At 39.7% G+C, this 12,829-nt stretch overlaps 1 protein-coding gene, 1 long non-coding RNA gene and 1 other non-coding gene across 22 annotated transcripts in view; 2 read left to right on the forward strand and 1 right to left on the reverse strand.

Annotated features, from left to right (window-relative positions):
- Positions 1-12,829, forward strand: part of CDC16 (cell division cycle 16) — a 37,827-nt gene that overhangs the window by 3,400 nt on the left and 21,598 nt on the right. For all 20 annotated transcript variants that reach the window (XR_001749714.3, XR_245358.3, XM_011534853.3 and 17 more), the window contains 9 exons: positions 694-732; positions 1,054-1,194; positions 3,825-3,984; positions 4,961-5,052; positions 5,560-5,693; positions 6,594-6,673; positions 7,704-7,753; positions 8,635-8,708; positions 12,253-12,378. Coding sequence is in view for 18 of the 20 variants with exons in the window: in XM_011534853.3 (XP_011533155.1) it covers positions 694-732; positions 1,054-1,194; positions 3,825-3,984; positions 4,961-5,052; positions 5,560-5,693; positions 6,594-6,673; positions 7,704-7,753; positions 8,635-8,708; positions 12,253-12,378 (896 nt within the window). In the remaining 2 variants the exon portion in view is untranslated. The remainder of the gene's footprint in view (positions 1-693; positions 733-1,053; positions 1,195-3,824; positions 3,985-4,960; positions 5,053-5,559; positions 5,694-6,593; positions 6,674-7,703; positions 7,754-8,634; positions 8,709-12,252; positions 12,379-12,829) is intronic.
- Positions 6,209-6,265, forward strand: MIR548AR (microRNA 548ar). The gene has a single exon (NR_049839.1). It is a non-coding gene; the product is annotated as a microRNA 548ar (primary transcript).
- Positions 12,320-12,829, reverse strand: part of LOC105370384 (uncharacterized) — a 30,962-nt gene continuing 30,452 nt past the window's right edge. Inside the window, exon 4 of the long non-coding RNA XR_007063887.1 lies at positions 12,320-12,423. This is a non-coding gene — a long non-coding RNA (uncharacterized LOC105370384). The remainder of the gene's footprint in view (positions 12,424-12,829) is intronic.

Here is a 12,829-nt window from a genome sequence, read left to right on the forward strand (position 1 = left end):
CGCCCAGCAGTTATTCACACTCAGGGCCTGAAGTGGAGCTGCTGCGATCTCCTCGGATGCCCAGCAGTTATTCACACTCAGTGCCTGAAGTGGAGCTGCTGCGAGCTCCTCGGACGCCCAGCAGTTATTCACACTCAGGGCCTGAAGTGGAGCTGCTGCGAGCTCCTCGGACGCCCAGCAGTTATTCACACTCAGGGCCTGAAGTGGAGCTGCTGCGATCTCCTCGGACGCCCAGCAGTTATTCACACTCAGTGCCTGAAGTGGAGCTGCTGCGATCTCCTTGGACCCCCAGCAGTTATTCACACTCAGTGCTTGAAGAGCTACCCAGTGCTCCACTCCTCTGCCTGACCACTTACTCGCTGCCTCACTTACTCGCTCTCCTGCAGATGTTTACTTCTCCACCTGGTTGATGCTTTCTGTTGCCCCGTTTCGTCATGCTTACCTGTTGTGCTTAGTTCACATCTCCCCTACTGTAACCTCCTGGGGCAGGGCCTTACTGCTTTTGAATCCTTGGTGCCTAGTAAACAGTAGGTTCATAATAAATATGGTTTAACAGGACTGGATTTTTTTTTTAACTGCAAGAGTAAAAGGAGAAATTATGAAATTAGTTCTATTTTATGCTTATGGCTTTCTTTGAAAGTGAAGATACATATTATTTTGACCACTACTTAAACAAATTAATTTCTTTCCTAGTTGTATGAAGCATGTCGTTACCTTGCAGCTAGGTGCCATGTAAGTATGCTCATAATTTCATTTTTATTTGGTTGAATAAAATGAGTGTTATGCATCTCTTAAATATGTGTGAGAATTTTAGTGATGGAGCTTAGCAGGTTAGTAAAGTATTTCATGAGGAAGTGTTCCTTTCCTTAGTCATGTTTGCTATAAAATACTGATTCTTCGTTTACCACATGCTGACATGCATGAAGAAAATTCTACTTTAGACATTTCACATTTAAATAATGGGCATAGTATATGTTATCCTTTAAAAATTCGGATCATGTGTTTCGTGTTAGAAGTCGTGAGTGATGAGCGGCACTTCTGTTTTCCACGTAGTATGCTGCAAAAGAGCACCAGCAGGCCCTTGATGTTCTTGACATGGAAGAGCCCATCAATAAAAGATTATTTGAAAAATACTTGAAGGACGAAAGTGGCTTCAAAGATCCTTCCAGCGACTGGGAAATGTCACAGTCTTCAGTAAGTAGTACTGTGAGCACAGCTCAGTAACGGCGGCGAGAATTGCCCTCATTACGTGGCAGAAACACATTATCTTCTTTTACTTATTACTATATTAAAACAATTGTGGTTGCCAATTTATTTAATTTGCCCACCAAAACCAAAAAAGATTCTGAGACATTTCTGAGCCCTTAGTTGCAAGCTGTAATTGTATCCGCAGATGCCTGCATCCAAAATAGGCTGGCTTGAAACTTCCTTCTCATATTTGATGCCTTAAGCTACTCCCTAAAAGTGGAATAATTTTTCTTCTCCTTTCTGTGTTTCAGCAGTGTTTTGGACCTACACCAAGAAACTTTGATTAGCGTACATTGTTTCTTTCCAGGAAATGGTTTTGTGTTCTGTTTGCTTCAAAGTACATTGCTATGTAATTGTGTATATTTCAGTTTGTATACTTCATATCTCCATGAAATTGCACATTCCTTGCTGGCAGACATCATATAGTAACTTATTAAGTGACATTTACAGATCACTAATCTGGATTTAAAAAAAAAAATAAAAACTTATTGAGGTATAATTTATATGCCATGCAGTTCCCCCATTTAAACTGTATGGTTTGATTCCTTTTAGTGTATTCACAGAGCTTTGCAAACCTCACCATGGTCAATTTTAGAATATTTTTATTATTCAGAAAGAATCCCTGTAAGCCTTACCTGACCTACCAATTTCTCTTTCTTCCCACATCTTTTTTTTTTAAATTAAGACAGGGTCTTTGCTTTGTTGTCCAGGCTGGAGTGCAGTGGCACAATCACAGCTCACTGCAGCCTCAACCTCCCAAGCTCAAGTGATTCTCCCACCTCAGCCTCCCGAGTAGCTGGGACTACAGGCGCCCGCCACCATGCCCGGCTAATTTTTTGCTATTTTAGTAGAGACGGGGTTTCACCATGTTAGCCAGGATGGTCTCGATCTCCTGACCTCGTGGTTTGCCCACCTCGGCCTCCCAAAGTGCTGGGATTACAGGTGTGAGCCACTGTGCCCGGCACAGTTGGCTAAATTTTTTAAAAAATGTTTTGTAGAGACAGGGTCTCACTGTGTTGCCCAGGATGGTCTCAAACTCCTGGGCTCAAGTGATCCTCCTGCCTTAGTTTCCCAAAGTGTTGGGATTACAGTCATGAGCCACTGCACCTGGCCCATTTATTTATATTTTTGGTAGAAGTTTATTACTTGACTTTTCACCTTAGATAGTTATTTTTAAGCATAAAAGAATATTACACATTCTAGGTTTTTGTTTTTGTTTTTTTTTCTGGCCACTCATTAATGTATGTGTTGGGAAGCAGATTCTTCTGTTAAGAAATGCATTTATGAAAGTGTGTGGTACAGTCATTATTTTGGGACCTCTTATCCATTAACTTATTTGCTATGAAATGTGTGATTTATTTGCAACGCATTATTATTTATTTTGTGAAATTACATTTTTAAAAAACAACTCCTAGGATATTGCTTAGTTCGAAGACTCTCATAATTCATTATTTTTTCTAAAATTTTACTTTATGAATCTTCTTCATATCCTTAATGATACTAGCTGCCTGTTGCTGGATCATCTTTAAATTCAGTTATGTGTTCGAGGTCCAGAGTCTAGAATGTGCATCAGATTTCCACATCTTCGTGTTTATGGTAGTCGTGAGATGGCTGTTGAACGCCTTACTATGTGCTAGCACCACAGAGATGGTAGCATCTCTAGCCCTCACAGACTTCTATAAGTTAGATAGTAAAGAGTTCTATAAGTTAGATAGTGTTTTTATCTTTTTACAGATGAGGATAGGAAATGGAGGCCAAGAGAGGTTCAATCACTTGTCCGAGGTTACAAGTAATTGGCAGAGCTGGGGTTTGAACTCAGGTCTGTGCTGCCTCAGCAGGCCATTGTGCTGACTGCTGTGACCACTCTGCTGCATTGCTGCCAGTTTCTGCTCATTAAGATCCTTTTGAGGGGTGTCTGCCTATCACACTGTCAATCTTGGAGTTTTATACACATGCACACACACTCTGCCATCTCTAAATCATTGCACTGTTTTGGACAAAACAGGTAATGAACCTAGTAGCCGTGACATGTACTTTTGTTATAAAGATGTGTTGGAACAGAGCAGTTGAAGCCCAGGGAAGGTGAATTGAAGAAGCTTTGCTGTGCATTTTTTGTGTGTTTTTATTTATGCCTTGACAGTTGTGATTGACTAAATCCTTTTAAATGCAATAAAAACTTCTCAGCATTCAAATACACAATTCTCTATCAAAAGTTAAGTTTAAGGGCCAGGCATGGTTGCTCATGCCTGTAATCTCAGCACTTCGGGAGGCCAAAGTGGGAGGATCACTTGAGGCCAGGAGTTTGAGAGCAGCCTAGGCAACATAGCAAGATTGTCTGTACAAAAAATTTAAAAAATTAACTGTTTGTGGTATTGTGCACCTGTAATCCTAGCTACTCAGGAGGCTGAGGCAGGAGGGTCATTTGAGATCATAGGAGTTCAAGGCTGCAGTGAGCTATGATCGCACCACTGAACTCCAGCCTGGGAGACAGAGTGAGACTCTGCCTCTAAGGAGAAAAAAAAAAAGTTAAGTTTAAAAGTACTGACTTAATATGTGACTCATCATTTTTCCAACAGATAAAGAGTTCTATCTGTCTTCTACGCGGGAAAATCTATGATGCTCTAGATAACCGAACCCTGGCTACCTACAGCTACAAAGAAGCTTTGAAGCTTGATGTCTACTGTTTTGAAGCGTTCGATCTTTTAACATCACATCACATGCTGACAGCACAAGAAGGTTTGGAAACTCAGGCTTTTTTGTTTTATGTTTAGCAAAATTAATATTGTTTGGATTTTTTGCCTCTGAAATCTTCTAAGTCAACAACAGGCCACATACAGGTTTAAATAGACCTACTCACTTTCTTAATGTCTTCAAATGTAAAGCACGTTGCAGAATGCAGTATTGTACGGTGCCTTGTGCTGTCCGAATCTAGGGATTGTGATAGGAAGAGGCCATCTTTTTGAGAAGTGATTGAGATAGTATAAACCAGGATTTCAGTATCTCATGCAGTGATTCTCAACCGTGTTGCTCTTTACATCCTTGGGAAGACAGAGAAACATCCATGTCCAGTTCCCAACTCCAGAGCAGATGCTTTAAAGCTCCCAGGTGATCCTAATGTACCACAGGCACTGAGAATCAGTCCAAGTATGTTGGCAGTGGTGTGAGGTGCGTCAACAAGGGAAACAGAAAATAGAGTGGTTGGATTAATGGGATTCTAACATATTTTAGCCTAGTGCAGTGGTTCTCAACCAACCAGAGTGATTTTGCCGCCCCCTGCCCCGGGAACAGTTGGCAATGTCTGGAGATGTTGTTTGTCACAGCTTAGGGGCAGGGAGGGAGGTTGAGAGGTTGCTGCTGGTATCTAGTGGTTAGTGGCCAGAGGTCCTGCTTAGCACCTGCAGTACACAGGCTCCCCTGTTCCCAGCAGAGCAAGATCCACGCAGTCAGGAGTGCGGAGGCTGGTGGTTCTTAGGTGACAAGAGCCACCTGGGGACCTGCCTCAGCCCTGAAAGAGTAGCCTCCACCCACCAGATGATTCCCGTCTTCAGGCCTGGAGCCACTGTGTCAGCTTCTGTTGCACATTTTGATCTTATGTTCTCTTTTGAGTTTGATTTACTTAGACCAAGAACTGTAGAATCATATTTTTAGTTGTTGGCTTTTTCCCCTCTATAAATATTATGAGGATATTCTTTTTTTTCTCACCATTTTTAAGAAAAAGAACTTCTTGAATCACTACCCCTTAGCAAGCTGTGTAATGAAGAACAGGAATTGCTGCGTTTTCTATTTGAGAACAAATTGAAAAAAGTAAGTAAAACCAAAGAGTTAGCACTTGCTTTATGTAAATATCTTATTCCATAAAATTTGGCATCTAGTCTTATATTAAGTTTTCAAAATTAAAACTTTTTAAATTTAGCACATTTTTAAGAATAGAGCGTTTAAGATACATAAGATTCCAAAAAAAAAAAGCTTTCAAAAATACCTTTTTCCTCTGAAAGACTCCTTATACTAAAAGATTGAATTACCAAGTAAATGTAAATGGAATGGTGTTGCATGGAAATGAAGATTTTTTTGTTATGCTTCCTGAATGTTTACTTTGAGAAATACGTCCCGCTGTGGAATTCTGTTCTAAAATTGAGAAGGGAATTAAACTTACTGAGAGGAGTACTTATAAAACCTAAAGTTATAAGTTTTCAGAGGCTCTCACATTTGTTCTTGTAAATGTTTTAACCACTTGGGCCAAACACAAATTGAATCCACATTTTATTTTGTTTTTGCTCATTGAGTTTATGTTTACATTTCTATGTGTTTCAGTATAATAAGCCTAGTGAAACGGTCATCCCTGAATCTGTAGATGGCTTGCAAGAGAATCTGGATGTGGTAGTGTCTTTAGCTGAGAGACATTATTATAACTGTGATTTTAAAATGTGCTACAAGCTTACTTCTGTGTAAGTATATCCATCCATTTTTCTGTAGGAACATGGAGTTCACTCCATCTTACCTAGGTGATTCACGGACGTGCTCTCTGAATAATCTTGAACTAGATGATAATTTAAGTTATCTTTACCAATTGTAGAGCACTGAACAGGGTGCTGTCTTAAAAGAGCAATTTACAGACATGAATTTGTGCATATTTGTAGATTTATTACATTAACTTGGGAGGGATATACATGTTGCTCTTACTGATCTTGATAATTTGCAAGTTTGAAAATTCCATTTTGGCACATTGTTTTGTAAAATTTATTCTCAATTATGAGACTCACACTGTAGATACTAGGTGTTTAATATGCTGCACGCAGTAGCTAAGCCATCTCCCACATGTATCAGTTTTCCAGTGTACCTAATTTAAACTTTAGCTAAATGACATATGCTATTTTTTGTAGATCTTGGTTCGGTTTAAAATCCTTGAAATTACAAAAATTTTAATTGGCAAATACACATAACCTATTTATTAGTTTGGTGCAAAAGTAATTGCAGTTTTTGCTGTTGAACGTAGTGGTAAAACTGCAGTTATTTTTGCACCAACCTAATAGGATTTCCTGTTGGTTTTGATTCTTTTAAATAAGCGGCCTACTTATTTTATGTATTACAATTCTGTTGACTTAAAGTAAATGTATGTGATAATGTTTATTTTTATTCCTTTCAAATAAACCAGAATTTTTTCTTTCATTTGTAACTTAATTATGGCCTTAACTGAATCAACCTGAAGATAATGGAGTGAAGAAAGTGAAGTGTTACAACCCACAGCATCATATGTGATACCATAATGACTGTCTACACATAGCCGATCGTCGTGAGTGCTGTCACCTGCTGGTTTGGGGGTAGTAATGTGTCGCTTTAACTTTCAGAGTAATGGAGAAAGATCCTTTCCATGCAAGTTGTTTACCTGTACATATAGGGACGCTTGTAGAGCTGAATAAAGCCAATGGTAAGACTTTTTTTTAAATTAAAGTAATTCTTAGACATAAAACAAATCTTTTCTGTAACTTGAAATTTTGTCTCTGAAATTCTGGATAGTTGAGATTGCAGGTAACAACATAATGGAACCCTACTATAAAAGTAACAACTGGGGAGGAAATGTTTAGGAAAGTAGCAAATGGCCAATTTTGTTTTCCCATCAGAACAATTAGTTCTTTATCACTGCTTCCTACTACCTTTTCTCAAATATCATTTATGTTTCAAGGTTTGTTAGCTTTAAATTGTTGGGTGTCAGTTCTGCCTCCCCCCCCCTTTTTTTTTTTTGTAAATTCCACTGGAAATCTGATATGGTAAGAGTTGATAACTACTTAGAAATTGGAAAGGAGCAGATTGTTTGCTCATGTTTTCCGTATTTTTAACATTTGACATTTAGTTGTGTTTGGGGATGCATTTGTCCTTAAATTTTTCTAAACTGAATGGTGAGCTCTGTCAGGAAGGAAAACCCTCACCGAATCCCTGCTGCTCAGAGTGTGGTTCGTGGACCAGCAACATCGCATTTGTGGAAGCTGGTTGGAAATGCAGCATCTCCAGCTGCTCTGGTCTACTGAATCCAAGTCTGCATGCAGGAAACATCATCTTGAAATGCCAGGATTTACACATTTCTCAAGATTAAATAGTATCATTGATCTGATAAACTTGAAAGTTTGTTCAGCCAAATTGGTTGTGGGTGATTATGATGGTCCATAATGGGCCCTTGGTGTGACAGGCATGAGCTTCTAAGAGAGGTGAGGTGCTTTGCTGTATCCTCTGCAGTATTCGGGAAGTGCTGTCTTAGGGGGTGTCTGTTCCCACCTTGCCCACAGTGTGTCCTTCATCTAACTCTCCAGTTAGAGAGTTAATTTTTTATCTAGAAGGAAAGACAAGTATGAAATCATTGCTGTAAGAGCAGAATTATATGATTGTGAAGAGTTGTAATGAAATCATGTCTTAAATTACATGTGATACGAACAATTGTTCTTTTTCTGCTTTTTCCTGAACAGAACTTTTCTATCTTTCTCATAAACTGGTGGATTTATATCCTAGTAATCCTGTAAGTAATATAACTTTTAGTCTTAGTTTTTTTTTTTTTACCTGTACTTTAAGAAAATGCTTAACTCGTATTTAGACAATAGCTTAAGTTCAAGCAAATGATGTTTTATTAAAGTGTTGCAACAGAATCTCCTAGTGTTTATTGTACTTACAAAAGCAGCATTAACTTTTCAACCCATGAAGGTATTTTTTAATTATACCAAAGCAAAAAGGTTTTTAAACCCTTTTTTCTGATTATAGAAGTTATACATGCTTATTTTAAAATACTTAGCGTATAGCAATATAAAATACTGACCATGACAGTCACGCCTCCCTTTCCTAAGAAATGTGGATAATTGTTTGGCAGCTTTCTCACATTGCACATGTAAGACAACCTGTTGAATTGTGTACTGATTCCAAACTGTCATGGATCGGAATGGAGAACTAGGAATGGAAAATGGAATCAGGGACTGCGTCTTTAAGGACAAAATCAGGAATCAGGGTGTAAGACTCAGACGACAAGAATTTGCACCCTATCCCAGTGTGAAACCAGAGCAAGAGAAAACCAGCTAAATAGTCAGAACTCGGACAGAGAGCAAGGAAGAGCCAGGGTCAGGCTGGGGGAGATGAGCAGTGCAGGGGAGTCAGGACTCACAGGCTGGTTTTTGAAACAGGGACTCCTCAGGGGCCTTGTCTTGTGTAGACGTCTCCTTGAGAAAGAGCCATGGAGTGTCTGCCCTCTTCTCTTGGACCTTAGTAGACTGTATTAGAGAAATGTCTAACTTAACTAGAATATGTGATAAGGAACATGTAGTATACCCTCTGTCTACCCTAATTTGTTGCAGATTCCAATTAGATATTCCAATTCCAATCTTTGTTTATGGTAAATTTTGAACTTTTTAGGTGTCTTGGTTTGCAGTGGGATGTTACTATCTCATGGTCGGTCATAAAAATGAACATGCCAGAAGATATCTCAGGTATGAATTTATTTTTTTCCTCTCTAGTTAACCTGTAGAATTGATGTCTTGCTCATAAGCTTTCAAGTAGTAATTAGTGAGTACTTTAAAAGCAATGTGAAAGAATAAATGTTTTTTTTTTTCTTCCTTTCTTTTCTTTCTCTCTTTCTTTCTTGCCTTTTCTTTTCCTTCTCACCTCCCCTCCCCTCTCTCTCGAGGGTTCTCACTCTGTTGCCCAGACTAGAGTGCAGTGGTGCAATAATAGCTCACCTCAAACTCAAATGATCCTCTTGCTCAGCCTCCCGAGTAGCTGGGACTACAGGCACCACCATGCCTAGCTGATTTAAACATTTTTTTTTTTTTTTAGTAGAGACGAATCTCACTGTGTTGCCTAGGCTGGTCTTGAACTCCTGGCCTCAAGCAGTCCTCTTGCTTCGGCCTCCGAAAGTGTTGAGATGACAGGCATGAGCCACCATGCCTGGCTGAATAAATGTTTTCTTCAAGTGGTTTGTTCTTTATAAGATGCCATGGGGAGAGAGAGAAAAAAAAAATCAGTGATGTAGACCCTATTCTCAGGGAACCTACATATTTTATTTATTAATGAGAATAAATGGCCAGGCATGGTGGCTCACACCTGTTATGCCAGCACTTTGGGAGGTCAATGCAGGTGGATCACCTGAGGTCAGGAGTTCAAGACCAGCCTGACTAACATGGTGAAACTCTGTCTACTAAAAATACAAAAAATTAGCCAGATATAGTAGTGGGCATCTGCATCCCAGCTACTCGGGAGGCTGAGACAGGAGAATCGCTTGAACCTGGAAAGTGGAGGTTGCAGTGAGCTGATATCGCACCATTGCACTCCAGTCTGGGTGACAAGAGCAAAACTCTGTCTCAAAAAAATAATAATAATAATTAATAAATGAGAATAAATATGAAACAATAGAGAATAATGTAGTTTGAAAGTTTCTCTCTTTCGCTTACAGAGATCCTGTTAACCTTTTACTTTTAGGATTTCTTTTATTAATAGTTGTGAAATTACACAAAACTTTATGTAAAATTGGGGTCACTAAATGTGACTATAAAACAGAATTCTTAGCAGGGTGAACTGATTCATGTAATGATTTGCTGTGGTTTTAACTTAAGGAAAGCCATGCAGCCTAGTGAAGCTATTTAACCAGTATTATTCAAGTTTAGAAAAATGTCAAGTATGTGAAGAATTAATTACTTAAACTCTGTAAATGTTCTAATTTCTGTGGTTTCTTCCGTGCAAATAAAACAGAATTGGTCTCTAACGGAAACAGCATAAACTTTGGAGTCAAATTTGAATTCTAATCCAAGTTCTGTGACTTACCAACTGAAATTCCTTGGGAAAGTTAATTTCTCCTGCTCTCTCTTTCTTTAAAAATGGGGATGTCAGCCAGGCGTGGTGGCTCACGCCTGTAATCCCAACACTTTGGGAGGCCGAGACAGGCAGATTACCTTAGGTCAGGAGTTCGAGACCAGCCTGGCCAACATGGTGAAAGTCTGTCTCTACTAAAAATAAAAAAATCAGCTGGACATGGTGGCATGCACCTGTAATCCCCGCTACTTGGGAGGCTGAGGGAGGAGAATTGTTTGAGTCCAGGAGGTGGAGGTTGTAGTGAGCTGAGATTGCACTACTGCACTCCAGCCTCGCCGACAGAGTGAGACTCTGTCTCAAAAAAAATAAAAGGGAGTGGGGGTGGGGGAGATGTCATACTCATATAGCAGGATTGTTAGGAAGACTGATGCCACGAAAGTACCCTGTACTAGGAAGAAACTAGAATGTTCCCTGGTTGGTTGTATGTTCAGCATTTTAGAAGAACTTCTACATAGAAAGATGATTAGTATTGTAAAAGTTATTTTGAGCTATGCTGCTTTGATCTAGCGTGCAATTCAGTGATGGACTCTTATCAGTGGTCCCCAACATTTTTGGCACCAGGGACCATTTTGTAGAAGCCCCCCCTCCCAGGGTGGGGGGACTGGTTTCTTGATGATTCAAGCGCATTACATTTATCGTGTGCTTTTTTCTATTATTATTACATTGTAGCATATAATGAAATAATTATACAACTCACTATAATGAAGAATCAGTGGGAGCCCTGAGCTTGTTTTCCTGCAACTAGATGGTCCCATCTGGGAGAGATGGGAGACAGCGACAGGTCATCAGGCATTAGATTCTCGTAAGGAGTGCGCCACCTAGATCCCTCACATGTGCAGTTAACAATAGGGTTTGCGCACTTACGAGAACCTAATGCCTCTGATCTGACAGGAGGCAGAGCTCAGGCGGAAATGCAAGTGAAGGGGAGTGGCTGTAAATACAGATTAAGCTTTTTTTTTTTTCAAATGGCAAGTTCTTTCTTGACATATGAAGCTTTACTCACCTGCCTGCCACTCACCTCCTGCTGTGCCGCCTGGTTCCTAATAGGCCAGGGACTGATACCAGTCTGTGGCCCAGGGGTTGGGACCCCTGCTCTACATGAAACAGGTAACATTTGGATAAAAGAAAACTTAAAATACAAGGAAGTAGGGTATCACCCCCTATGTCTTCCACGTTTTGTGATATGTTCTCTTTATTCCTTGTGGGTTAATTATACAGTGTTCACTGTATACAATTATTCACTGATATATATGAGTCCAGTCCCTGTAACCAGGGTATATCTGTTGACCATCATCTATAGGATATCGCCTAATCCCTCAAGCCTTGGTATACCTGTCTTTAAAATATAAATGAATTTATCTTGCAAGTTATTAGGATGAGAGGATGTATCTACTAGGTTACAAAATGGAGCTCCTGGATTAAGTAATATCTGTAAGTTCTATTTAGAATGCTAATGGGTTTTGCTACAGTGCATAAAAAGCTGTGGATCTCCTCAAATTTCTTAAAATTTTGCTATACTATTAAACAGTTTTAGTTCAAATGAATCAACACAAATGTTACATTAGTGTTTAATGTGGTGACAGCTTGTTTACTAAATGGATGTTAATGTTTTTGAGGCCATCTCCTTATATAAAATTAACAATTCAAGAATAAATACTAGCTGGGCACAGTGGCTCGTGCCTGTAATCTCAGTGACTCAAGAGCCTGAGGCAGAAGGATTACTTGAGCCCAGGATTTTGAGGCTGCAGTGAGCTATGATCATACCACTGCATTCCAGCCTCCAGCGACAGAGCAAAACTCTGTCTCTAAAAATAAAAAATAATAAATAGGCTGGGCGCAGTGGCTCACGCCTGTAATCCCAGCACTTTGGGAGGCCAAGGTGGGTGGAGCACCTGAGGTCAGGAGTTCAAGACCAGCCTGACCGACATGGTGAAACCCCATCTCTACTGTGAATACAAAATTAGCCGGGCATGGTGGCGGGTGCCTGTAATCCCAGCTACTCGGGAGGTTGAGGTAGGAGAATTGCTTGGTATCTGGAGGCGGAGGCTGCAGAGAGCCGAGATCGCACCACTGCACTCCAGCCTGAGCGACAAAGTGAGACTTTGTCTCAAAAAAAAAAAAAAAAGAATAAATACTATATGACTTAAATTAACTCTTTTGTTTTAGCAAAGCCACAACACTTGAGAAAACCTATGGACCTGCATGGATAGCCTATGGACATTCATTTGCGGTGGAGAGTGAGCACGACCAAGCGATGGCTGCTTACTTCACAGCAGCACAGCTGATGAAAGGGTACGGCAGAGCAAACTCATCAAACTCCATGAAGGGATGTTTTTCCTAATAGAAATGAAATTTCTATTACTATTACTGCTATTTGGTTGCTAAACTAAACACAAACATTTTACTTGCCTTTTAATCTAGTTGCTTGTGATTGTAAAATAACTATGAAAGTGGAGGGGAGAGAAGCTGGTGTATGCATTTGCCTAGCAGTTGATTCCAACCAGTGCAAGAAGCAACCAGGAAATTAGGCCAGTGGAGGAGAGGAGTTCTGGAAGCCCTTCCTCACATGCTCATGCAAGAATAAAAATATTCACGAGCAAAATTATTATATCTTATCTATTACCAAAAGGTATTTGATGTGGCTTAGTGGTAGGTGCAGGACTGTATTTGCCAGTATTCTAGATTTATATCAATATTAAATGTATTGAAACTAAGAATGTGTTACTTTGAGGAGTAGAGTATT

This window comes from Homo sapiens, chromosome 13 (assembly GCF_000001405.40).
Source record: "Homo sapiens chromosome 13, GRCh38.p14 Primary Assembly".
Classification (NCBI taxonomy): Eukaryota; Metazoa; Chordata; class Mammalia; order Primates; family Hominidae; genus Homo; species Homo sapiens.